A 27912-nucleotide genomic window follows, 5' to 3' on the forward strand; every position below is an offset into this window, starting at 1 on the left:
ACTGAGCATTTTTATCAGAAGTCAGAGGAATTACAAAATAGCTCCTGGCTGGGGGAAGGGGCACTGCTATGTAATCTCCCCAGCCCTCCCGAGACCCCTGCAAACCTTGTTTTCAGACCTCTTGCATCCTGCCCTGAGATCTTGGGTCTGTTGTCTGTTTCTCTCCCAGGACTGTGGACTTCCCAAGGACAGGGGCCGCACCTTATTCAAATGATTACTCCTTGAGCTTCGCACAGAGCCTGACCCACATTTTTATTTTAACAATAGCTTATATATATCGAACGCTTACCTGTACCAGGTAGTAAACACAAAACATTTCATATTCAGCATCTCGTTCAAACATTCCCCAAACTCTTAAGAGGTAGGTACTGGATTATCCCCATTTTATAGAAGTGGAGATTGAGCTCTAGGGTGTTAAATGACTTTCCAAAGTTTCCCAGCCTGTGACAGAGAGGGTACCAAGTCTGGGGCCAGGCTATTCAGACAAAGCCTCTTAATTCCTGAATACTCCCAGGCTCTTGATACATATTTGATAAACAAATGGATGAAAGAACAAAGTAATGTGCCCCCTGACAATCTTGCCAATCAGAGTGTTCACTAGACTGTGGTGACTGCCAGGCGACCTTATTTTCTCATTAGAGGGAAATTTTGGAAACTAGATTCTATCTCACCTCTCCTTGTTATATTGAACACATCCCCGGTATAACTGGAAAATTTTCCTTGGAGCCTGGTATCCTTTCCCCTTTAGGATGGAAGCAATGAGCACCCACTTAGAACTGCCCTCCTAGGGCATGGAGCCATGACCGCACCAGGCTGCTCTGAGGACGGGAGTGCTCTCAGTGGTGAGCTGGAGAAAACTGAAGCAGGAGTTGGGAGGTGAACAACTCTGGCCAGTGTCAGGTCCATTTATTTCAGCAAATATTTATTGACAACCACCCAGCCAGCTCCTGGGTGGATGCTGCTCAGACGGTCCTTGCCCTCCAGGTTCCCGGAGCCAGGAGGGAGAGTCACAAACCCAAGCAAAGCTAATAGAAGCCGAGTGTGGATAAATGCTGTAATCAAGGTTCAAACAATTCAATGAAACAGGAAGGAAGTAGTTCATTCTGCCCAGACAGACCAGGAGCGATCTTTGAGTGGAGGCTGGACGAGAATCTGGCCTGAAGAAGTGGCGGAAGACTGAGAGGCACAACTGGAGGTGAGGCCGGGGGTAGAACCCCTGGGGAGCAAGACCTCGGTGGTGTGGGGAGGACATCAGAGAAAGCTGTTAGGTTGTGGGTGTGAGCGAGGCTGAAAGAGAGGCTGGGGCCCATGCAGGACACACATTTCTTTACTCAGTGGAGCATTCTGCCCACTTTGTTCAAAGAACAACAGATTCTGAGCATATTGGGGTCTAGTTTGCAGGCCACCAGAAGCAGATCCTGCAATGAGTATTTGGGTACAAGTTGTTTATTTTGGAGGGGATCTAGGGAGCATTGATGTGGTAGTGGGGCATGGAGACGGGGAAAGGAAAGATGCCAGCACCGGCATATTACCACCAGGGGCCACAGGGCCTCAGTCCCTCTGGCAGGGACGTGTGAGAGCCGTGGGAACTGACTTGCAAGGGCCAGTGGTGTGTATCATTCCCCCACTCCAAGTTCAGGGACATCTGTTGGTAACCTAAATTCATCTACAGTGAGAGTGGGAGTATTTACACCACAGAAATTGGCAAATGCTACAAATGGGGGCTTTACCTGGGCCCATCCTCTCCCAAAAGCCCATTTACCTGTACCTGCTACCTGCCGAGGGCCTCAGAGATGATGCTGTCCTCAGAGTCATCCTCCTGAGAGCACAGGGCACTGGGGAGCTGGCGCATTTCTCCCCCAACACGCATCAGTCACTGGTAAGAGCCACTCCTTGTGGTGTCACCTACTCAGGATTCCAGCCACCCTAAAAGAGGATGCATATACTCCCAGCCGCAGAATGCCCTCGGGGGAAGGAAGCCTCAGTGGCTTGCCACAGAAACCCATTAGCTTGTAAGGGAATGGGGATTGCTGAGGGGCTATGGGTCTGAACTACCCATGAGTGATACTAAATAAGATGTCCACTGCCCTTGAAAAAATTGCCAGGTAAGTGGAGTGGGGCCCACATACTGTTTCCATCAGTGAGCCCTCTTATCTCTTCCCATCCACACACCTGCATACTTCCCAACAGCAGTCAGCCCGCCACCACAGATGCTGCAGACCGTTCAGGTGTTCATCACTCAGAAGCCCACACTTCTAGGGATATTTTCTCTCCAATAGGGATCCAGAAGGAAAGTACATTCTTCAATATCTCTTTCAGTGCTAAAATGTCACTTGTGGAGTGAATATTTTAGGCAAAGAAGCCCCATCTCACACACCCACAACCTCATGCCCAGTCACTGAAGTTCGTTCTGCTCCCCCAAAAGTAAAATTCTAAATACATAAAGCTCAGGCCTGGAAGAAGACAACTTGCCTTAAATAAGTCAGGACATATCTTCCCAATGGCAGATATGCCACTCGCTGGATCCTCCAGAGAAGCAGGTCTTGTTAATAGGGCTTATCGCTTCTGTGCCCTAGTTTTGCCACTTGGGAAAGCTCCTAAGATGTGACTGTGACAATGTAAAGAGTTTGGATTTGGCTGTATTTTCATCTTATGAACTCTGACACGCTCCATTTTCCCCCTGCTTGGGGACTTTGTGCAGGCAAAAAAGATTTTCTATCTCCAGAGCATTGAGAGCTCTTTGGAAGCAAAGACTCGTGGTGTGATAAGGGAGGTCCTGCAGCAAATCTCCTACTTCTGAGCTTTGGAGGAGCCAGTGCGATCAAACCCCGAGTAAAGGGGACCATGCTGGGAGAACTGCTGATATATGCTCATTTGCAAGGACTGAAGCAGAAAAGATGAAATAAGCTTGAAGAAAGAAGGGAAGAATGATAGAGGTGACAGTGTTTTAGTCCCAGTTTGCCTGTTGCAAAGAAATGGACAACTGTGCTTATTGACTGCCTCCCCCCCGATTCCCTGTAAATCATCCCTTTGCAGCTTGTGTCCCAAATAACTTATAAACAATGTCTCCTTTACTCAGCTCTCCAAAAACAATCCCTTTGTTTAACCACAATTTGCAAAAACAATTTCTTCATTGTAAATAAATCCCTAGACTCTACAATATGCCCTGATCCAGGAAAACACAGGAACATATTTTATAAAGCTCTGTGTATTTCCAAACAAGGGACATTGTTTCACCATAGAAACTCTATTTTTAAAAATCCTATTGACAGTAAAGCATAGAGAGCACGCTTCTGGTGTGAAGATAAAGGCAGCCCAGAAGTGAGATGCCCTGGGGAAGGTAAAGTGGAGAAGAGAACTCAGAACCATTTGCTCCATCTGTTCAGTCCATCACCCAAGGGTCTCAGAGCGTGACTTGCAGCGCTGGGGCCAAATAGAAAAGGGCCTGCCGGAGATAGCTCGAGCTGGTTGGACAGAAGCCTAACCATCCTGGAGATCAGGAAGACATAGCTCAGCTGTAATAGCCTCTCCGGCAGGCCAGGGCTGCCATGGCAGGTGGGCAGGCTTCCTGAGTCAGGGTCTGAGGGGTGCTGCTCCCTGGTGCACCCACAACCCTGTAGTGAAGGGCAAGGCTGCCTGTATAATCAGAGAGGGTCACACATAGCAATACCCCTCCTAGCTGGCAGTGAGGGATTTGGTGGATCACTGAGACCCTTATTCTACTTTCTCTCCTACCAAAGAGCTTGTTTGCCTGCTCATCTCTGCTCACTGGGGTTTCTGAGAGAGGATATTGTCTTCCTAAGAGTACATGGCACTGGGGGAGCCTGAGTATTCAATCCTCAGCCCCCATCAGCCACTGGTGAGAGCTGCTCCTGGTGGTGTTACCTACCCAGCAATCCAGCCTGCCCTAGAATGGGGACAAGCACATTCAAAGCCACAGAATGCCATCAGCGGGGGAGCCTTAGCTGCTTGCAATAGCAATCTATGAGCATAGAAAGCAATGAGGAGAGCTGGGGTACTATAGCCAGGGCCCTGACAGTATCTACTCTGGTCTGAACTGCACACAGGCCATATCAAATAAAATGTCCCTTGCCTATGTGCCCAGGTCTTAGCATTATTTTTTCTAGGACCTTTTCTGAGATGTGACACACACATCACTGCCTTCTAGAGAGCCTTCAGAATATTACCCATGCCTTTCTCAATTACTCAGTTACTGAGCTCACCCAAAGGCAGTAGGGACAAGAGGTGGATCCTATGACCCCAGGCCCTGCCTAGTCCCTCAAATAATGTCTGCTGAAGACACACAGCCCCCTGAGGCTAATTGAAACTCCCATGGCCTCCCTGAATCGGGGAAGAGTCGGAAATTATATGCCATTTATTTATTTTTTTAAGGCTTGTTTTATTTGAATGGCTGATCTGTGTAATCACAGAGGCCAGTATGTACAGACAAAGGGGGAGCTTTTATTTCTTGGTCTCTTCCTCCTTAGACCAAAGTCTTGATGATCTCCTCCTTCTTGGCCTGGAGGTGCTCTTCACGGTGCTTGCGTGCTTCCTTGGTCTTAGACCTGCGGGTCTCAGCCTGGTCAGCCAGGAGCTTCTTGCAGGCCTTGTCTGCCTTCAGGTTGTGGATGTGTTCCATGAGGATCCGCTTGTTTTTGAACACATTCCCCTTCACCTTCAGGTACAGGCTGTGATACATGTGGCGATCAACCTTCTTAGATTCATGGTATCTTCTGTGATACATGTGGTGATCAATCTTCTTAGAATCACAGTATCTTCTGAGAAGCTGGCATAGAATCCTCATCCCCTCATCCACATGATCTTCTCTGGCATTCGGGCATTGGCTGTAGCCTTTCACTTAACTACGCCCATGTGCCTGCCCTTCTGGCAGGCCAAGGTGTTTTCCGGTATCAAGCCAGGAATGGACAGTCACAGGCTTGTGGATGATCAGCCCATCTTTGATCAGCTTTCGGATCCACTGATGGGAGTTGGCATTGGCGATTTCACTGGTCTCCTTGGGGTCCAACCAGACCTTCTTCTTGCCACAGCGGAGGACACTAGAGGCAAGCCTCTTCTGAAGACTGAGCATACTCATGGTTGTGGCTGCAGCAGCGAAAGGAAAGAGCCAGGACAAGAGCAAGGGACAAGATGCCTGGGCAGGGGGGACCCTTGGCCATTGGGACATTGCTTTTCCCATGGGAAGGGGCCACCAAAACAAAGACCCTTCCTCAGAGATGTGCCCAACACTTAAGATGGACAGCCCAGCGATGCCCCAGAATGTTCTGTTGCCCCAGACCACTGCCTTCGTCTGTAGTTCCCAAGCCAGCCTCTTCCCTGACACCACCTGCCATTTCACATGATCTACCCTTCCCATCCCCTCCAACCTGGCACTTGTGTTCTGCTCACACTGTGACTGTGAAAAACAACAGCCAATGGAAGCGACAGCCCTGACGATGAGCTCAGCTCGCTTTAGTTTTACACGCGGTTCTCAGTCAAAAAGCCATATGTTTGGGTCTGCACACACTTTTGCTATGAATCAGTAAAGTAGCCAGGGATTGTGGATGTTTGCGTGGGGGACTGAGGAGCTGGCTGTTCTGTGCCTATCCAGCCTGTTTCCTGCAGGGAGCATTTCTGACTTCTCTTTGGGCCTCCACCCCTTCCTCTCTCTCTCTGTCCACAGCTTAAGGAGTGGAACTCCCAACCCAGGCAAAACCATCCAGCACCTTCCCTTCCCCGTCCTGAGGTGTCCTTAGTGGTGGTGGTGGGAATGGATAAAGGCTAGTCCAATCAAAATGAATCTCAGTAATTTTACTGGGTATTCTGGGATAAAGACACTCTCTTTTGCTGGACTTGGGGCTGTCAGCACACAGGGATGGAGAACGAAGCCCCTTAAAGGAAGTGGGGCCAAGGGATGAGCCCTGTGACTTCATCCGAACCCTGAATCAAGCTCAGGCTAAGCCAGATGTAACCTCTGGACTTCCAGCTTAAAAATAAGCATAAATTATCTTCGGGCTTAAGATACATTGGTTTTTCTATCACTCGTACCTTCAAAAAGAGTCCCAACCAGTGGATCTTGCAGTAGGCATTTCCCTGGCTTTCTGGAGGATTTCTGAGATGACAGATGCTTCTCAGTGATTAGCTTTGCTGGTGGCAGGTGGAGCCATCTGTGCAGTGGTTGGGTGTTGTGAACCTGCCTCTGCCCAGCTTTCTAGACTTTTGCTCTCACCCTCTGATCAAGTCAAAAGCCTGGGGAGGAGAGGGGGCATCCTGGATTCCTCTGTTCCTTTGCTCCCTGAATCCAGTCAATCATCACATCTGATTAATTCCACCACCAGACAGCTCTCAACTGCATACACTACTCTCTCTTCTCTGACACCACCCACATCAGAGCTCCTACCACCTTTTGTGAGGGCTCCTAAAATAGACTCCTAACTGGTCTCTCCATTCTACACTTACCGCCCAGTCCTTTCTCCACCTAACATCTAAAGTGGAATTGCAAAATAGAAATCAGATCATCATGTCTGTCCCTTCCCTGTTTCAGTCACTTAAATGGTTTGTGTGTTTGTCTTATATACAATGCTGTGGCCATACCAGCCACCACCTTTTGGTCTCTGGAATGTACCAAGCTGTTTGGCATGTACCGAGACTGTATTCATTTCCTATCTTACAGTTCTCTAGGTCGGAAGCCCACATGGGTCTCACAGGGCTAAAGCCTCAGTGTCTGCTGGGATGCATTCCTTTCTGGAGGCTGTGGGAGAGAATGTGTTTCCTTGCCTTCCAAACTTCTAGAAGCTGCCTACATTCCAGTGTACAGCCCATCTTTAAATGTGGCATCTTTCTGACCCTTCTGTTGGTATATCATTCTCTGGCTGCAGTTGGGAAAGCTTCTCTCCTTTTAATGTTTCGTGTGACTAGATTGGGGCCCCCTGATAATCCAGGCTATCAACCCATCTCGAGGACCATAACCATAATCTGCAAAGTTCCTTTTGCTATGTTGGGTAAGATATTCACAGGCTCCAGGGATTCAGGTGTGAACATCTGTGGGCGGAGTGTGGGGTGGGGGAGGGGCATTTTTCTGCAGACCACAGGCCCTTTGCACATGTTGTTTGCTTTACCTAAAGTGCTCTTCCACCCACTTCTCATCAGCCTAACTCCTTTAGGCCAAACTTTGGGTCCTCAGAGAGACCTCAGTAAAAATCTACTTTAAATTAGACCCTCTGGTTACTATGGCTCCTGTTTCTTTCCCTCGTAGCACTTTCAGCAGTCTGTAATTAGATATATTTGTGTAATTACTACTTGATCATTTTTCCCATTGGAGTGAAAACTCTGTAAGAACAGGAACTGTACTGATTTTGCTATTTGCCCATGACATTAGCAGTCATGTGGTGGCTGCTCCGTGAATGAATGACTGCAGTGAAATTGGCTCGGAACTTTAAGCTCAGCCCTGTCTCCTTCAGGACCAACCCTTACCTGAGGCAAGAGAGATTTAAGGGGTTCCAACCTGGATTTCTGGAATCTAGTATCTAGCCTCCCTTGCTGCAACTGCATCCCTGCCTTGGGCCCCTGTCATGATCCTGAGTACCTGCTCTGATGCTCTGGGCCCAAGGCCCTGTGTTCATCATCTGCGCCTTCTTTTCTCTTGTCCAAGGATCCCTGGATTCAGGTCTACTACTCTTGAGCCCCTGCTGGGGAGGCAGCACCTTTCTTTTGCAGCGCTTCTTGGAATTGTTAATTACACATGTTATCATCTGCCTCCCTTAGTAAGCGGTACACAACAGAAGGAGAGTGTTTGCTTTTCTCCTGTTCACTGTTGGGACTGCAGGACCCCAGCCAGTATCTGCTCCCCTCCCCCAGACACCCTACACCCGCTGATGAATAAATGGATGCCTGCATTCTTCTATATCCTTTCTAGACCTTCCAGGCTTGCCCATGCATCACTGCCATCCTCCGTGTGGGAGCACCCTGGTGCCGACTACTCTGCCGACTGACTACAGACCCTCCAAGGCCATGTCTACACTTCTTGTTTCCAACATAGCTCTTGCACCTCTATGCCATGCTGCAGGAATTTTATCTTTAGTGCCAGTTCTAGGATTAATGCCAATCAGAAATAAGCACCACTTCAGAGAGAATATAGAATTTAGCCAAATAATATTTATTGAGCACTTACTCTACACAAAAATCAGAGTTGCACAAAAGTGAGCAACCACAGAAACTATCCTCAAGAATCCCACAAAATTGCAAAGGAACAAATAATTATCCTGGAATAATAAGCATCCCAATTCCACTGCTACAGCTATGAGAGTGGGATGCAGTGGGAGGAAAAGACAGGGGCTTCTCCAGTTGTCGCTGCCACCAGACCATCCTAGTAACAGAAAAACTCATCTATAGGCTGCCCTAACCCTGGCTTAAGAGGAGGGGAGGCAGTGTAGCCTCATGGAAAAGGTTTAGGTGAAAGCAAGAAATGTTAATAAGATTTTACTTCTCATTTAAATGTAATTAATGTCTGATTCCAGCCAGACAGAAGCTCAGACTCAAATGTTGAAAAGACTTTGGAAATCGTAAGGTCTTCTCCACATAAGCACACATCTCTCCGGTGAGGATATCCCTGTCTAACTTCCTGCAGAAGGCCTGCAGGAGGAATGAAGGTGGTGTCCACAGTGAGTCTGGAGCAGGGGCAGAGCTGGCCAACTAAGAGGGAGGGCTCAGTTCTCACGGGGCCATGCCTCTCAGAGTCTCTTTCTCAGATGCCAAAGTGCTCAGTTGGGAAAACTGCAAAACAGTAGTAAAAAGATTTTCGAGTTGGAAATATGCAGCCCTGGAATTAATTGATAGGAAGCAGCCAGGTTGTGAAGTTCCATCATTTGCCACTGAGATGGGGAGATCCTGGGGCAGGTGAAGGACTGGCAAGCAGGTGACATCTCAGCCACCCACCAGTCTTGCTTGATCATGGAATCTCATCTGAGAGCTGAGGGGAAGATGTTTGTGGATCTCAAGACATTTCTCCAACATATTTGCAAGTTGACATTAGTTCTTTACTCCAGGCCTTGGTTATGGCTGACACAGAGTTTTACTAACGCAAAGTGATCTGCCAAACTATTTTGGCTGTGTTTTGCTGGAAGCCAGAGAGAAGACAAAGAACTCTATAAAAAATAACAAGCAAAGCAGAATGCCCTGCCTGTCTCCCTGAGGTGACACCAGCTATTTTCCCATGAAAATAAAGAGAGCAAGGAATAATTAAGAGAAGGGGTGAAGGTGGGGGAGGGAACAAGAGAAACCCATCTGTAAACACAGGAGGGTTTTTGATGACTTTTAAATAGCAAAAGAACAATTATATGATTTTGCAGTGATTCAAATTTTTTGAAAATTGAGAGAAATTAAAAGAGAATTAATGCTGTTGCTTTTGTTTTCTACCCAGCATCTTGAAATGTTATGTGAGCATCAAAATAAGTTTTAAGAACTGCCTCTCTATTCTCTGATGTGAAGGGGGCTCTGTGGGGCTTCTATGGTAATCCGGGTAAGCAAAGAGTGGATTAAGGCAGTAATTTTCAGTAGCTAAAAAAAAAACTACAAAGGCACAAGTGCTACCAATTATATCTCAACACAAACCAGTACCTCCTTAAGTTTCAACACAGAGAAGGCAAACAATTTCATTGTCAACCAGGGTGTTCTCGTAGAAAGCCTTGGAACATGCTGGGCGCATTAAAGGGGAGCTATCTCGCATGTGCAATTACTCAACACATCTTTAAAACTGTAAACACTTGTTCACATGTGGAGAAGTTTAGAGCCGTACAGGCTTGGAAAACCCACCTGGCAGGCGGGTTCCCTCCGCTTCTCTCCAGTTGAGTAACCATCCTCGGCGCCCACTCCTCCTCTGAGAGCCAAACACCATCAGCAGAGAAATCATTAAGGAGTGGGGGACGAGAGTTCATACATGAGCTATTTTTATCCAGAGCACTCCCTTTTCTCCTGTCTGGGTTGATCTCCTCCATAAACCTTGCCTCCATCTTTCTCCCCGCCACCTGGTGCAGGGAGAAATGCCATCTGGCTTTTGGCTAGCAGCTTTCTCCAGCTTTGAAGGGTGAGTGGCACTGAGGATGCAGATATTTCCAAATAAACCCAGCAGAGGAAGATCGCCCAGGGTTGGTTTTTGAAACAGCAGACTGCGTGACCACAAAGAGAATACCCACCATGCACAGAAAAAATAATCTCTCCAAATGTGTTCAAGAAAAGAATGTAGAGAGCCCAAAGACGCCTGCCTATAAATATGGGAGTCAAATGGAAAGAAAGCAAGGTTTATTCTCCCCCATTGGCCTGGCTCACTGAGAACTGCACTCATATATATGTATGCATCACATGTCATACATGGAAAAGACCCATGAGATCATGTTGCTCAACTTGCTGCCAACAGGAGGGCATGGCTGTTTCTCCTTTCCCAGGGCTGATGTTACAATGTCTCCAGCAAGGAACTGATTGTTTTACTTTGCTGGTTTAATTGGCCATTGTGAGGTCACTGGGGAGAGAGCAAAGCCAATTCCCTGGCCTCTCAGATCCACATACATCCTGGGCTCTGGAGAGACATTCGAAGGAGAAGTGCTCTAAATTCAAAGGGAAATACGACGCCCAGCCACGGAAAATGGCAATAAATCCATAAGAAATTAAAATTTTACTTGAAGTGGAAATTTTATCATCACCAAATTCTGCCAAATTTTGGATTTGGGGATTGGTAAAGAGGTTTCCAAAATGAAATGCTGTCTAAAGGTTGTTTGTTTTAAAGGACATAATACATAGTAAAAATGAAATAATCATCCCACCCAAATAAGAGTTATTTCTTTCCCAACAGACCTTTTCCAGGCTCAGTAATTTCACTGTTAATAGCAGAGAAAAAGCAATCAGCTAGGTAATGGGTACCACTAGCACTGAAGTCATTTAATTAGCACCAGTAAATGAGAGCTGCCCAGGTGCTCAGATGTAATTAGCTGTGCCCAAAACATTTCCTACATTGGCCAGCAACTACAGTCAAGGACAGGGAGCTATGCGCCATTGGAGAAGAATCTTCCCAAGCTGAGGACATGACCAGGCCCGTGGTCCAACCCTTCAACAGGCTGAGCAATGCCACAGTCCCCAAATCTTGAGGAAGGCCTCACTCTTGAAGAGGAAGCAAAGAAATGAGTTATGGGCTCTGAGGCCATGTTGCCTAGGTTTGAATCCTAGCTATATGCTTTGACAAGTTATTAAGATCTTTCTGTTTCAGTTTTCTCACCTGCAGAAGGGGGATAACAATAAAATCTACCTGAGGTTCAACAGTTAATATGTGTAATGTGCTTAAAAGGCTAAAGAGTTAATGTGTATAATGTGCTTAGAAGACTGGCACATGGTAAGCCTTCTCTAAGTGTTGGTCAGAATAAGAATAACTCTATTACTTTTGATTATTTTTACACCATTAATCAATCGTGGTTGCTTACAATCACCCAGCCATAAATGGTAGAATCAGCAGAGTAGTAACAGTAGAAGCACTAATTATAATAATGATGATAACAGTGGCTTCTACTTAGTACCTAGCATGTGCCAGATTTTGATCCAGATGCTCTACATCAGGAGTACAACCCATAAACCGAATCCAGCCTGCTACCTATTTTATAAATAAAGTTTTTTTGAAACACAACCATGCCCATTTATTTACATATTGTCTATGACTTCTTTTGGCAACAATAGAATTGAGTAGTTGTGACAGAAACCAGACAGATTGCAAGGCCTATCTGGCCTTTCATAGAAAATATTTGCCAACCCCTGCTCCACATAGCCTCAATTAATTATTGCAATAACTTCTGAGGTTGTATTTGTTTCCTGTATTCAGATAAGAAGACCAGAACTCAAAGAAGGACAAGGATATGCCTAAAATCTCTCTGATGGGAGCTAGGCACCATTTGACTCCAACACCCACCCCTTCCGGCCATGTTCCACTGGCTCCAGGAGCCCAAAGCATGTTCCCCGTGCCATTCCCATCACTGTCCACGGCAGTGGGAGATGAGCTGGGTACAGTCAGGCAGGTGCCACTGCTGAAGGTGCTCTGCTCTCCATGGAGGGAATGACCATCTGCAAAGCCAAGTCCTTCTGGCAATGACCCACTGAGTGAAACACTCTTCCCCTGACATACACGTTGGTTTATTCATATTCCCTGCTGTGGCTGCCTTGTGTGAGGCAGGATGTTGGCAGATGCAGGTGCCCTGCCAGGCCTGTCCCCTGGCTTAGCTGGGGGCAGTTTCAGAGCTATGACAAGCAATGGGCATTGAGGTACTCCTCAGAGACTGGTTGGTAATACTGGTTTACCAAATGATGGGGTAATTACCTAGAGATCTGTACAATTTCAAGTTTGTTCAGATAGTCAAGATTATTGCTACCACATGTGTTGGATGCTAAGAAACATTCTCCTTGTTGAAAAAGTGACCCATATTTTAAAGTCTTTGAAGATAAAAGGATTGTCTTAACTTATCTTAGATGGTTGCCCATTTAAGGGTTACCCAGCAGTCACAGGTTACAAGTACAGTGGGAAGGGCCTCAAATGCTGGGTCTGGACGTAGAAACATTGCCTTTCGATAGCGGTGTGGACATGGGGAAGCCACTCCCGTTCTCTTCAACAGTTAATGATCCAGATGATTCTGAAATCTCCATGCTCTAAAGTTGTGTTCCACTGTCTGCAAGAAGTCCATTCTAGACAATGTGACAATGTAGCGTGTGGCCTTTGAAGTTATACCATCCAAGCTCACATACTTGCTCTACTGCATGATCTTGGCTTCGGTAGTTAACTGGTCTGTAACTCTTTCTCTTCACTTGTAAAACAATGAGAATTGTGGTACCCGCCTCTGCTATTTTAATCCTACTTTGGGTATTTGAAAAGAAAACCCAGGTAACACACTTAACTCAATTTCTGGTCCATGATGACTATTCATGCATCATGCATGCACAAATCATTACTTTTATCATGGCAAACAATATTTTCCCATTTGGGATAATTCTCTGAGAAATCAGTTTATAAAGAAGTCAACTGCAAACCCATCTAGTCAGAGTCAAGTACACAAAAGCCCCTGGCCCTGATGCAGAAATCTTTCTGCACCATCTGGTTTTAACATACATAACTTGAATTGGGAAGTTCTCCTTGCTGAAAATTCTGGGGCTCCTGGAAGAAAGGGATGAAAGGTTTGTATCATCTTTGTATTTTTCTCATCTCTGACTTTGTTTCTGCTATCCAAGCTCTATGACCTGCCAGTTGGTGTCTATAAGCTTCTGGCCAGTCCCAATTTGAGGAGTTGATCTTGGAGTCCTCAAAGGCAGAAGTTCTCAGATGCACAAAGTATAGGCACATGTGGGTTCAGGTGTGCTCTTCTCACTGCCTAGAACAACTCCTCCTCTCCTGTCTTTCCATTTAACTCCTTCAACAGATGCCAACTGAGCACCTGCTACATTCCATGGTCTGCTCTAGTAAACAGGGTAATCTCCATTTCACATGGAGCTCACATTCTATAAGAGGTGTAAGGATGGTATATGAAAAAAAGACAAAAGATAAATACTCTATGTGTCAGTAAGTGACGCAAAGAAAAATTAAACACTGAGAACAGAGATAGTGAGAAGGGTATCTTTTTATTTAAGGCACTTGGGGAAGGCTTCTCTGCTCAGCAGAGATTAGAAAAAACCCAAAAGAAGTGGGAATGTGAGCCTAGCAAATATCTGGGGGAAGAATTCTAGGCAATCACATTAACAAAGGTCCTGAGGTAGAAGTGTACTTGGGAATTGGAGAAACATTGAGGATCAGTGTAGAGCACAGAGGAGGTAAGGAGAAGAGAAGGAGGGGATGAGGTCAGAGAGCTGATGGGGAACCCTTCAAAGTAGGGCCTTTGAAGACATGGTGAGGACTTGGGTGTTGTGTTTTGAGGGCAAGGAGAAGCCTCCAGAGGCCACTGGGCAAAGGAGTGGCAGAAGGCCCTGGAAGTTGAGCACAAAGACTCTAACATACAGCTGGAATTCAAAACCTACTCCTGCCATCACTAGCAGCTCAAACCTATGAGCCACACCCATCTATAGTGGTTTTAGGATTTTCCATTTTAGATAACCTGGCTTCTACCACTTCACAATAACTCACAAGCTAACCCTGTTTGCTTCTTTCAATACCCACTTCCACCGGAAAACTTTGTCTTTTTCAAGGTAAAGTGCCATATTCAGTGTGATTTTCTAGCTTATTTGAATAGAGGTGTTTATGTTATTCTCTTATGGCAATTGGTATTGCTGTGGGTCAGTGGTGATATCCCCTTTATCATTTTTTATTGTGTCTATTTGATTCTTCTCTCTTTTCTTCTTTATTAGTCTAGCTAGCAGTATATTTGTTAATTTTTTCTAAAAACCAGCTCCTGGATTCATTGATTTTTTGAAGGGTTTTTCATGTCTCTATCTCCTTTAGTTCTGCTCTGATGTTGTCTTCTGTTAGCTTTGGAGTTTGCTTGCTCTTGGTTCTCTAGTTCTTTTAGTTGTGATGTTAGGGTGTCAATTCATGATATTTCTAGCTTTTTGATGTGGACATTTTTACTTTTTACATGGGGATTATTACAATTCAAGGTGAAGTTTGGGAAGGGACAAAGAGCCAGACCATATTATTCCACCTCTGGCCCCTCCCAAATCTCACGTACTCACATTTCAAACCAATCATGCCTTCCCAACAGTCCCCCAAAGTCTTAATTCATTTCAGCATTAACTCAAAAGATGACAGTCCAAAGTGACATCTGAGAAAAGGGAAGTCCCTTCTGCTTATGAGCCTGTAAAATCAAAAGCAAATTAGTTACTTCGTAGATACAATGGGGGCACAGAGAGTGGTAAATACAGCCATTCCAAATTTTAGAAATCAGCCAAAACAAAGGGGCTACAGGCCCCATGCAAGTCCAAAATCCAGCAGGGCAGCCAAATCTAAAGCTCCAAAATGATCTCCTTTGACTCCATTTCTCACATCCAGGTCATGCTGATGCAAGAGATGGGTTCCCATGGTCTTGGGAAGCTCCGCCTCTGTGGCTTTGCAGGGTACAGCCTCCCTCCCAGCTACTTTTGCAGACTGGCCTTGAGTGTCTGCAGCTTTTCCAGGTACATGGTACAAGCTGTTGGTGGATCTGCCATTCTGGGGTCTGAAGGATGGTAACTGTCTTCTCACAGCTCCACTAGGCAGTGCCTCACTGGAGACTCTGTGTGGGGGCTCCAACCCAACATTTCGTTTCTGCACTGCCCTAACAGAGGTTCGCCATGAGGGCCCCACCCCTTTAGCAAACTTCTGCCTGGACATCCAGCCATTTCCATACATCCTCTGAAATCTAGGTGGAGGTTCCCAAACCTCAGTTCTTGACTTCTGTGCACCCACAGGCTCAACATCATGTGAAAGCTGCCAAGGCTTGGGGCTTGTACCCTTTGAAGCCATGGCCCAAGCTGTACCTTGGCCCCTTTTAGTCATGGCTAGAGAGGCTAGGGACACAGGGCACCAAGTCCCTAGGTTGCACAGAGCAGGAGGGCCCTGGGCCTGGCCCATGAAATCATTATTTTTCTCCTATGCCTCTCGACCTGTAATGGGAGTGACTGCCACAAAAATCTCTGACATGCCCTGGAGACATTTCCCCATTGTCTTGGAAATTAACACCTGGCTCCTCGTTACTTATATAAATGCCTGCAGCAGGCATGAATTTCTCCCCAGAAAATGGGTTTTTCTATTGTATTGTCAGTCTGCAAATTTTCCAAACTTTTATGCTCTGCTTCCCTTTTAAACATAAGTTCCAATTCCAAACCATATCTTTGTGAATACATAAAACTGAATGCCTTTAATAGCACTCAAGTTATCTCTTAAATGCTTTGCTGCTTAGAAATTTCTTCCCCCAGATGCCATAAATCATCTTCAAAGTTCCACAAATCTCCAGGGCAGGGGGCAAAATGCCACCAGTCTCTTTGCTAAAGCATAACAAGAGTCACTTTTGCTCCAGTTCCCAACAAGTTCCTCATCTCCATTTGAGACCACCTCAACCTGGACTTCATTGTTCATATCACTATCAGCATTTTGGCCAAAGCCATTCAACAAGTCTCTAGGAAGTTCCAAACTTTCCCACATCTTCCTGTCTTCTTCTGAGTCCTCCAAACTGTTCCAACCTCTGCCTGTTACCCAGTTCCAAAGTCACTTTCACATTTTTTGGTATCTTTACAGCAGCTCCCAACTCTACCAGTATCAATTTACTGTATTAGTCTGGTCTCATGCTGCTAATAAAGATATGCCCAGGACTGGGTAATGTATAAAGGAAAGAAGTTTAATGGACTCACAGTTCCACATGGCTGGGGAGGCCTCACAACCATGGTGGAAGACAAAGGAGAAGTAAAGGCACATCTTACATGATGGCAAGCAAGAGGGCTTGTGCAGGGGAACTCCCATTTATAAAACTGTCAGATCTCATGAGACTTATTCACTACCAAGAGAACAGTATGGGGGAAATCACCGCCATGATTCAGTTATCTCCACCTGGTCCCTCCTGTGACATGTGGAGATTATTACAATTCAAGGTGAGATTTGAGTAGGGACACAGAGCCAAACCATATCAGGTACATTGTCTCTTTGTTTTCATTGGTTTCAAAGAACTTCTTGATTTCTGCATTAACTTCATCAGTTATCCAGGATCCATTCAAGGACAGGTTGTTCAATTTCCATGTAGTTGTGGTTTTGAGTGAGTTTCTTCATCTCAAGTTCTAATTTGATTGTGCTGTGGTCTGAAAGACTGTTATGATTTCATTTCTTCTGTATTTGCCAAGGGAGGAGTGTTTTACTTCCAATTATGTGATCCATTTTAGAGAAAGTGTCATGTGGCACTGAATAGAATGTGTATGCTGTTGTTTTGGGGGTGGAGGGTTCTGTAGATATCTATCAGGTCCACTTGATCCAGAGCTGAGTTCAAGTCCTGAATATCCTTTTTAATTTTCTGTCTTGATTATCTAATACTGACAGTGGAGCATTAAAGTCTCCCACTATTATTGTGTAGGAGTCTAAGTCTCTTTGCATGTTTCTAAGAACTTGTTTTGTGAACCTGGGTGCTCCTGTATTGGGTGCAAATATATTTAGAATAGTTAGCTCTTCTTGTTGAATTGATCCCTTTGCCATTATGTAATGCCCTTGTCTTTAAAATTTTTGTTGGTTTAAAGTCTGTTTTGTCAGAAACTAGGATTGTAATCCCTGCTTTTTTCTGCTTTCCATTTGCTTGATAAATTTTCCTACATCCCTTTATTTTGAGCCTATGTGTGTCTTTGCACATGAGATGAGTCTCTTGAATACAGCACACTGATAGGTCTTGACTCTTTATCCAGTTTGCCATTCTGTGTCTTTTAATTAGGGCATTTAGCCCATTTACATTTAAGGCTAATATTGTCATGTGTTAATTTGATCCTGTCATTCTGATACTAGCTGGTTATTTTGCAGACTTGTTGAGGTAGTTGCTTCGTAGTGTCATTGGTCTTTGTACCTCAGTGTGTTTTTGCAATGGCTGGTAACGGTTTTTCATTTCCACATTTAGTGCTTCCTTCAGGAGCTCTTGCAAGGCAGGGCTGGTAGTGACTAATTCCCTCAGCATTTGCTTGTCTGAAAAGGATTTTATTTCTCCTTCACTTATGTATGACCACATATGAAATTCTGGGTTGAAAATTCTTTGCTTTAAGAATATTGAATATTGGCCCTGAATCTCTTCTGGCTTGTGGGGTTTCTGCTGAGAGGTCCACTGTTACTCTGTTGGGCTTCCCTTTGTAGGTGACCTGGTCTTTCTCTCTGGCTACCCTAAATATTTTTTCCTTCATTTTCAACTTGGAGCATCTGATGATTATGTGTCTTGGGGTTGATCTTCTCATGGAGTATCTTACTGGGGTTCTTTCAATTTCCTGAATTTGAATGTTGGCCTGACTTGTTAGGTTGGGGAAGTTCTTCAGGATGATATCTTTAGGTATATTTTCCAACTTCGTTCCATTCTCCCCACCTTTTTCAGGTACCCCAATCAGTTGTAGGTTCAGTCTTTTTACATAATCCCACAGCTCTCAGAGGTTTTGTTTGTTCCTTTATTTCTTTTTTCTCTAATGCTGTCTGCCTGTCTTATTTCAGAAAGATAGGCTTCAAGCTCTAAAATTCTTTCCTCTGCTTATTCTATTCAGTTATTGATACTTGTGGTTGCATTGTGAAGTTCTCGTGTTATGTTTTTCAGCTCCCTCAGGTCATTTATGTTCCTCTGTAAACTTGTTATTCTGGTTAACAGCTCCTGTAATGTTTTGTCATGGTTCTTAGCTTCTTTGCATTGGGTTAGAACATGCTCCTTTAGCTCAGCCAAGTTTGTTATTACCCACCTTCTGAAGCCTACTTCTGTCAATTCATCCATCTTAGCCTCTGTCCAGTTCTGTGCCCTTGCTGGAAAAGTGTTGCAATCATTTGGAGGACAAGATGCCCTCTGGTTTTTTGAGTTTTCAGCATTTTTTCATTGATTCTTTCTCATGGTTGTGAGTTTATCTAGCTTCGATCTTTGAGGCTGCTGACCTTTGGATGGGGTATTTTGGGGGACAATTTTTTGTTGATGCTGTTGTTGTTGTTGCTTTCTGTTTGTTTTTCTTTTAATAGTCAGGCCCCTATTTCATAGGGCTGCTGCTGTTTGCTGTGGGTCCACTCCAGACCCTATGCCCCTGGGTCCCTCCCACACCTGGAGGTGTCACCAGTGGAGGCAGCAAAACAGCAAAGATAGCTGCCAGCTCCTTCCTCTGGGATCTGTCCCAGAGGGGCACCGACCTGATGCCAGCAGTAATGCCCCTGTAAAAGGTTTCTGGTGACCCCTGTTGAAGGGTCTCACCCAGTCAGTTACCCTGCTTTGGGCTCCTCATCATCCTTGATTTCTTCTTTCTTAGCAGTCATCAGCAATTTTTTTTTTTTTTTTGCTGCATTTCTTGCTAGAGTATAAGCTCCATGGGGAAGAAACCATGCCTTATTTGCCCTTTATTCCCAGAGTACATAGTAAGTGCTCAATACATATTTCCTAAAATAAATGAACAAGTAAATGTAGAAGTGCCACCTCTCTTTACAGAGCAGCTTCCACCCCCTCCACACCCCTACACCACCAATTGTTATGTTCGCTCAATGGGCTGGACCACCAACTAATCTAGGATCAAGACCAGGGGCAGGGGAAGAAACATGGCTAGAGCCAGTGTTCCTCAGCAGGGTTGCTACCAGTGTTTTGGATGAAATTCTTATTTTAGGAACTTGACATCCTAGACCCCAAATAGTAATGCTTGACTCACTCCTAGTCCCTGTGAGAACCACAGTTCTAGCATCTTACAATGGAGCCACTCTGATCTCTGTTGAAAATGCCCCACAGTCTGAAAGAGACACATGCTAACCACTAACAAAGCACAGGTGTTTGCATGTTACACAAATCCTGCAGTTTTTACTAATAAATGTATTCAGAAAGGTAGGGTAAAATTGCTTATAATAATTAAAATTCTTGTTTCTAGATTTTTCCAAGACTGTCTTGAGGTTAGCATCCCAGGAATTCCTTCATTCCCAGGCAGGCCAGGATGATCAGCAAATCTAGGTGTCAATGTGACCTTTGAAGGATGCATGTTCTTTTCCGGAAGCTGTCCTGCAGGACTATTGAAAATAGGTCTCAGATAATTTTCCATTCTCAGTGTGGTAGAGAATCTCTGATCACACCCTTACCATTGCAGATTGGAGGATGGACTCTTAGAGAGGCATACGACTCTTCCCTGTTCACCCAGTAAAGTTTTTCCATGACAGCCATTTCCTGCTGGCAACATCAACATCCAAAGTAAAGTAAAAAGCAATGTATATGTTACTATATCCTTCAGTCTCTTCAGGAATTCATGCACTCCACTTATCTCTGACTGGCTCCTGGCTGTTTCTAGGAGTGAATAGAGCATGGCAGAAGGCAGGAACTGCACAGGAGATAATAACAAGGCATCCTGTGATCTTCACCCCATGCCTTATTGGATCAACTGTGAAGCCATGAGTACGACCAAATGATTCTGGAATAATAGGACATAAGCAAATGACTAAAATTTCAGGGGCTTTAGTTTCTCTCCAACTAAGAAATGAACTTAGCTGCTTGCCAAATTGCATACTGAGATATTTAAGAAAGCAGGGGGAATTTAACAATTAAAACTATTTCCATCTTAATTTTTTAAAAGTAGGGATAAAGGGCTATAGACCCAAGTTCCAGGCTCCTTCCCTATCTGCCTATCGAGTTACCTTTAACTTGGCGATTACAAGGCAGACGGGAGTGCCTGGATGTGGCCACATGAAAAGCACCTTGGCGGTTATCTCACAGTCGGCCGCTCACAGAACAAGAAGGGTCTTTCATGCAGCGGTGCAGGGCCCAGGGAGCACAGAGATGCTCAGGGCACCTCAGTGTTCCAAAGCAAGTCTTCATATCGCAGCCACTCAGGTGGAAAGAAGGGCCTGCCCCGTGCTCCTCTGCTCACGTCTAGGGTCACAGATGAATAGAGCCTGATTGAGGAGCAAAGCAAGCCTCACAAGCAGCTCGATGATGTGCAGAGGAAGGTATTTTGTTCAAAGATAAGGTTGGAGTCGGGGAGGCTGTGGGGTTCCTGGGGCGGTCAGTTGATATCATCGGAGACAACACAGCATTGCTGAGAATGGCCAGCTCCCTCCTGGCCATGATGAAGCCGAGAGGACAGCGTGGCTTGTGTAGGTGCCAATGGGAACTGTGTCTCCATCTGCTTCCAGGAGGCTTAACTTCCAAGAATAAATAATTGACTTTAAATTTCACCCCACACACTTGTTTGGTGGCCCCAAATAATTTTCCATTCCATAGAACCTCAAAACTACAAGCCATCATTTGTTGAGTACCTCTGCCAGACAGGGGCAAGGGCAGTAAGCACAATGGTTAAGAACACAGGCTCTAGAAGGAGGCTCCAAATCCTGCACAGAGTAGGTGCTCAATGAACAATAACTACTGTGGCTATTATGGACAAACCAAAACAGTGATGGCCACTGGTTGAAAATGCCCATCTGAAAAAAAGAACAAGCATGAACACAGGGTGTCTTTCCATTTATGTATACCCTCTTCAGTTTCTTTCATGAATGTGTTACGGTTTTCAGTGTACAAACCTTTCACCTTCTTGGTTAAATTTATTCCTAAATATTTTATTTTTTGATGCTTGCTATAGTTTAGATGTTTGCCTCTCCAAACCTCAAGTTGAAATTTTCTTGATTTCTTTTTCAGATACTTTGTTGCTAGGGTATAGAAATGCTACTGGTTTTTGCATGTTGATTTTATATCCTACAACTTTACTGAATTTGCTTATTGCTTCTCAAAGCTTTTTGGTGGAGTTTTTAGGGTTTTCTATATATAAGATCATGTCATCTTCAAACAGAAACAATTTCACTTCTTTTTTTCCAATTTAAATGCCTTTTCTTTCTATTGTCTAATTGCTATGATCAGGACTTCTAGTACTATGTTGAACAGCAATTGTGACAGTGAACATCCTTGTCTTGTTCCTGATCTTAGAGGCAAGCCTTCAGCTTTTTACTGCTGATGTAATATAAGCTGTGGGCTTGTTTTATATGTCCTTTATTATGTTGAGGTACATGTATCCTACACCTAATTAGTTGATAGTTTATATCATAAAAATCTGCTAGATTTTGTCAAATGGGTTTTCTGCATCTAATGAAGTGATCACATGATTTTTATAATCTTTATTCTGTTAGTACAGTATATCAAATGTGTTGATTTCCGTATTTCTATGGTTTGAATATTTGATCCCTCCAAAACTCATATTGGAACTTAATCCCCATTGTGGCTGTATTGAGAGGTGGAGCCTTTAATAGGTGATTGGGGAATGATGGTTCTGCCCTTATAAATGGATTAATTCATTCATGAATTAATGGATCAAAGAGTTAATAGATTACTGGGAGTCATGGGAGTGGGACTGGTGGCTTTATAACAAGAGGAAGATAGCTGAATGAGCATGCTCAGCTTCCTCACCATGTGATACCATATGCTTCCTTGAGACTCTGCAGTGAGTCCCCAACAGCAAGAAGGCCCTCACCAGGTGTGGCTCCTTGACCTTAGACTTTTCAGCCTCCATAACTGTAAGAAATAAATTCATTTTCTTTATAAATTACCCAGTTTCAGGATTTCTATTGCAAACAATAGAAAATAGAATAAGACATATATCTTGAACCATCCTTGTATCCCAAGGATAAATCCCACTTCATTATTGTGTATGATCCTTTTAACATGCCACTGAATTGCTAGTATTTTGTTGAGGATGATTGCATCTATGTTCATCAAGGATATTGGCCTGTGATTTTTTTCTTTTGTAGTGTCCTTGTCTGGCTGTAGTATCTAGATAATGTTGACTTTGTAAAATAAGTTTGAATGTGTTCTTTCCCTTCTTTTCTTTTTTTCTCTCTCTTTTTTTTTTTTTTTTTTTTTTTTTGTTGTTGTTGTTGTTGTTTAAGAGTTTGAGAAGGACTATCATTAATTCTTCCTCAAATGTTGTAGAATTCACCAGTGAAGCCACCAGGGCCTGAGCTTTTTGTTAGGAGATATTTTATTACTGAGTCAATCCTTATCCACTATTGATCTGTTTCAATTTTCTATTTCTTCATGATTTAGTCTTGGTAGGCTGTGTGTTTCTAAGAATTTACCCACTTCTTCTAGGTTATCCAATTTGTTGGCATATAATTGTTCATGATCCTTTGTATTTCTGTGATATCAGTTATTATGCTCTCTCTTCCACTTACAATTTATGAGTCTTCTTTTGTCTTCATTAGACTAGGTAAAGTTTTGTCAATTTTGTCTATCTTAAAAATCCAATTCCTAATTTTATTGATCTTTTCTATTCAGACACTTTGATTCTTCTCAAGCCATTAGAGATGTAGCCTTCCTTAAATCCCAAGTTGTTAGCAGGGCCTGAAAGGTCTCAAAGGATCAGGTCCTACTGCTTTCATCCCTCCCCATTCTCCCCTTGTTTACTCTGTTCCAGCCAAAATTGCCTCCTTGTTATTCCTGTCACTAGAAGCACACTCCCATTTCCTGTCCCCTCTGCGGGGAACACTTCTCCCCATGATACATGCATGGCTCACATTCTCACTTCACTCAAGTCTCTGCTCAAATGTCACCTCATCAAAGAGAATAGTATCAGTTTCCTTAATTCTAGATGCTGCGACAGAAATTGTAGTCAACTAATGTAATAAATAACATCTAGAAGTGCTTACTTTAGTTAAGAAATTGGTACTAGAATTGGGATGATGTTATTTGTTTAGCAGTAAAACGTGATAAGAGTTTATTTCTCATTTATGCAAAATTCAGTGAGATTTGGAAAGCTTTTCTGTTCATATCTCCTCCAGGTGGTGACTCAGGGATCCAAGCTGTCCCATCCTGGATTTGCATCACTCAATGTCACTTCAAAAGCGGGCAGGGGAAGAGTCTGGGAGATTGCACGGGATGTTTCTAAAGACCACCCCTGAAAGTGCCTTACATCACTTCACCTACATTTCTTTGAACACAGTCACAGAGATAGAAGCTCACTGCCAGGAATGCTGGGAAATGTAGGCTTCCACTGTACCTGGGGAAAGTAAAGCCTATAGCAAACACACAGCAGCTTTGACTCTGCCACAAGAGTTACATCTGGATTGGAATTCTGCCTCTGTCTGCTAGCTTGGAGCTCTTTGGATCTTTTTCTTCATTCAAAACTTGGAACTAATGACACCTACCCACAAGATGTACAGAATGTCACATATATAGTAAGTGATAAGTATTTGCTTATTAATAAATTTATATTGAAAAAAATATATAGGCCTAAACTCTTGAAATAAATTCTTAAATATCAAAATATTAAAATATTAAGCAAAATGACAAAAAAAGGAAAATTGAAAAAACAAATAAAAAAATTAAGCAAAATAACCCTGAAACTATAGAATAAAATTTTATACCAAGAGGATAGTTGTAAAAAATGACACTATTAAACATAAGCAATCTGTCAACAATTGAATGTCAGTGTAATCCTTTCTTTTCTGGTCTATTTTCATACATTGTCCTTCTCCTCCTCTTCCCCAGCGAATTACTCCTTCTCCCCTTGTGAACCAGAAAACTATGAAGAATCCTTCATAATTTTTAAAATTTTTAATTAACAGAGTTTCCTAATAGCAGGAGATATGAAATAGACACTATATTAGGGGAAAATCTCGTATTAACAGCACAAAGTTTAGAGTAGATAATTAAGAATTAATGAATTGCCTATAAAAACTTCCATAGGGATTAACTATACCAGAGAAATGCAGTAGATACAATTTAGGAGTGTGAGTTCTTTAATTAATTACAAAGAAACTTTTATTTTACACAGGGGCCACCCCTGAGAGGGCTTTCCCATGAGCTAGGGGAGTGAGTGTTCAAGAAAGCAGCTTCCAATGACTCAGACCCCTCACCCAAGGTGAGGATTGAAATGAGAATTAAGCAACTAGAGGCCTATGCTTGCCCTTACTGAGAGCATTCTGCAAAGCAATACAGACAAAAGGAGGTCACAGCACAGGAGAGATGAAACAAATGAGGTTGGAGAATTGACACATGGCATCTACTTTTTAGAGAACTTTGTAGTGAAGAGAATGAGAAAAAAACTACCCTTTGACAGCACGGCAAGGTCAAGAGAAGTTGTTTTGTTCATCAATTGTCATATGGGTTTGTTATTTGATTATTTTAAGAGAAGGGGGAATGAGCTTTCTAGAGAGGCTGAGGAAAGAAGCAGAGAGGTAGCAACCGACTATACGAGGACCCCAGGGTATATCAAGGTCCTGTGGCCTTGGAGGGTAGAGCCCAGTAAGGCATGGAGGAGCTGGCCCAGGGTTGGAGAAAACATGAGAAGAATGGGAGGACACACAAATACATTTGGAGGTTATTGGGAAACAAGTGAATGGAGTTCCCAGCAGATCTCACGTTCCTCTGATCTCAACATCCCTCTGCTAAGAAATAGTATGAAGAGGGAGCAGGAAGAGAGAGTGGTAAATGTGGAAACAAACCATTTCACAAATGACAGAAGAATCAAAGGTGGCATATTCATTTTCTATTGCTGCATAACAAACTACCATAATCTTATATTCATTTATTATCTCAGTTTCTGTGGGTTAGGAGTCTGGGCATAGCTTCTCTGCTCAGGGTCTCATTAGGCTGCAATTGAGGTGTTGACTGAGATATATTCTCATCTGAAAGCTCACCTGGGGAAGAATCTGCTTCCCAGTTTATTCAGGTTGCTGGAAGAATTCATTTCCTTATGGCTGAGTGTCCTGACTTTTTGCTGGATGTTAGCTAGAAGCCATCCTCAGGTCCTAGAGGCTGCCTGCAGTCCCTTACCAATGGGCCTCCTCAGCAAGGTCACTTACTTCATCAGGGCCACCACCATTTGAGATATAGGCTTCCCTGAATCCAAAGTTGTTAGCATCAGGTCCCACCTGCCTTCATCCCTCACCATTCCCCGCCCCCCTTGCTTGCCTTATCCCAGCTACAATGGCCTTTTTGGTATTCCTCTGTCTCTAGCAGGAGTCTCTAGCTCTCATGTGCCCAAATTTTGCACAATGTAACTCACCCACAGGAGTGACACACAGTCACCTTTGCCATATCCAAGCAAGTCAAAGGTGCTGCTCACACTCAAGAGGAAAGCATTATATCAAAGGAATGAACACCAGGAGGTAGCATCACTAAGATCACCTTAGAATCTATCCATCACAGACACTTCCTTAGTGTGGGTGTCCAGAGCCAGAATCTAGTGCAGGGACTGGGGCAAATGCTCCTGGCACTGGTGCCTCCTGAGTCAGCCGATACAGATGAAGCCTTAGCTTCTCCACTCTCTGTTTACTTGCTTGTTTATTTAGAGGTTTTGCCATGCTGTTTTGCAGTGGAAAAAAAGAAGGGAGGCGGAGATAGTAATATTTATTTTCTGAAAGAGAACTCTCTTCTCATGTAAAGGTTAAAAGAGCTGTGTTATTTGTGTTTCCTTGGCCTGGGTTTTCAAAAACCTGAGTAACAAGTGCCCAAATACCTCCATGTGCTGACAGAATTACTTCTCCTGCTTAAATGTCTCAACACCCATGGGGACAACTTGGGGTAAGGGAGACAATAGTATCCCTGCCCCTGACCTTGAATTTCAAGTCTCAATCTTTATTGACAGAGAGGCAAGCCGTTAGTCTTCACAACTGTACAAAATAAAATCACCAGCACTCTGCCTTTCAGCCCAGCCTGGCCATCTTCATAGTTGAAAACAACGGCCCATTGTTGGGTTAGAGAGCTACAAATGGAACAGTGGGGCTGAATCAGCAAACTGTGTTCGGTGTGTGTACACTGACAGTGGAGAGCTGACAAAAAGATCCCAGGAACAATGAGCAACAGGCACGTGATTCTGGAGGCGTGTGAATGTGTAATTCTGACTTGCACTCTTGGTAATGAAAGTGAGGCACAGAAATGCCAAGAACACACAAAGCATTTGCTGTCAGTGCATTTGTACTGCAATTGTTTAGGCACTCTTTTAATCAAGCCATAATTGGTGCTGGAAATTAACACATGGGCACCTCTCTAAAAATCTTACAGGCTCTAATTGTGCTCACAGTCTCAAAAGTACCACGTGGTACTGAAACAAAACTTCAGAATTAAAACTTTGCTCCCTCAATTAGGGTTTTCTGTTGCTACATAACTATGATTTCATTAAGGAGGTCCTGTGTTAAGATACAAATGCCATGAAATCTGACGTCAGCCTCCCCATGAATTGTTCAAATCCCTATCTTCAAACATCTTATCAAGCAAGCATATAGCTTCTGCTGGTGTTCCTCCAAGGACTGTGAACTTACTACTTACAATGGGGGTCCTCTAATGGACTGAAATCTGCCTCCTGGTAAGTTCTATCTAAGATCTAAGATCTATCTACAGGAGCTACATATTCTAAGTGTAACTTTTCTTCCCCTTGACAGGCTGTCAGATATTAAGAATCAGACTTCTTCCTGAATAGTGACTTCAAGGATGGGTACTATACTGAAAATGGAATGTCTCAGATTGGCTTTCCAGAAAAGTGCCTGAGATAAAGACAAGAATATATCAAGGTTTCTGGGAAGACAAGTAATGAAGTACAGGAAGCAGGAGAAGGGAAACAGGAGGAAGACAAACAAGGGGGCAACTTCAGGCAAAGCCTCACCAAACCCTAGAGCTAAGCAAAGCTTCGGAGCTGTCCCATCCCTAGTGAAGGCTGTTGGACTTTCATATTCTCACCCTGAGAGTCGTTGGTCAAGGGCTGCCTGGTGTTGGGCGAGGGCCAATGTAAACTCCCAGGAATTGCAACTCTGCACATATCAGCAAGTGCTCTGGTATCCTAAGGGAAGTTCTAAATAAAAATTTAAAAAAATTAAAATTAAAAAAGGACACAGGTTCCCACACTGAAGGCAAAAGCATCTGATACCTGGAAAGGGATGCACAGAAATGGTTAAAAAAAAGATCCAAGGGGGATCTTTATGGAGCAGTCACACATTGGCTATAAAAAAAAAATAACTGGCAGTTACATAGTGAGCAGCGAGAACTGCAGCTGCATTCCCTCACTCAGCAATGAGAACATCTGACAGCAATGTGCCTGCCTCCCAGGTAGAAGATGGGAGGCCACCTCTCTGGAAAAGCAGCCGTTCTGACAGAAAAATCCAGAAGTGCTGAAGGTTTAGGGTTCCCAAAGGATGAAGCTGAATCAACCTATAGTGAATGTACAAATAGACAACACACACACTCACACACACACACACACACACCCATCTTAAATATAAACAATCGAGGAGCACAATAAATTTAAGGAATATCTTAAGGAAATCAAAGCAAACAA

The 27912-nt window shown here is 43.8% G+C and overlaps 2 long non-coding RNA genes and 1 pseudogene across 3 annotated transcripts in view; 1 reads left to right on the forward strand and 2 right to left on the reverse strand.

Moving 5' to 3' along the window:
• Nucleotides 1–27912, reverse strand: part of LOC124902515 (uncharacterized) — a 66678-nt gene that overhangs the window by 9762 nt on the left and 29004 nt on the right. The gene's annotated exons all lie outside the window — the stretch shown is intronic.
• Nucleotides 840–27268, forward strand: LOC105378522 (uncharacterized). The gene is made up of 3 exons (XR_946379.3): nucleotides 840–1195; nucleotides 23420–23815; nucleotides 27023–27268. It is a non-coding gene; the product is annotated as an uncharacterized LOC105378522 (long non-coding RNA).
• RPL19P16 (ribosomal protein L19 pseudogene 16) lies at nucleotides 4388–5126 on the reverse strand (annotated as a pseudogene).

This window comes from Homo sapiens, chromosome 10 (assembly GCF_000001405.40).
Source record: "Homo sapiens chromosome 10, GRCh38.p14 Primary Assembly".
Taxonomy (NCBI): Eukaryota; Metazoa; Chordata; class Mammalia; order Primates; family Hominidae; genus Homo; species Homo sapiens.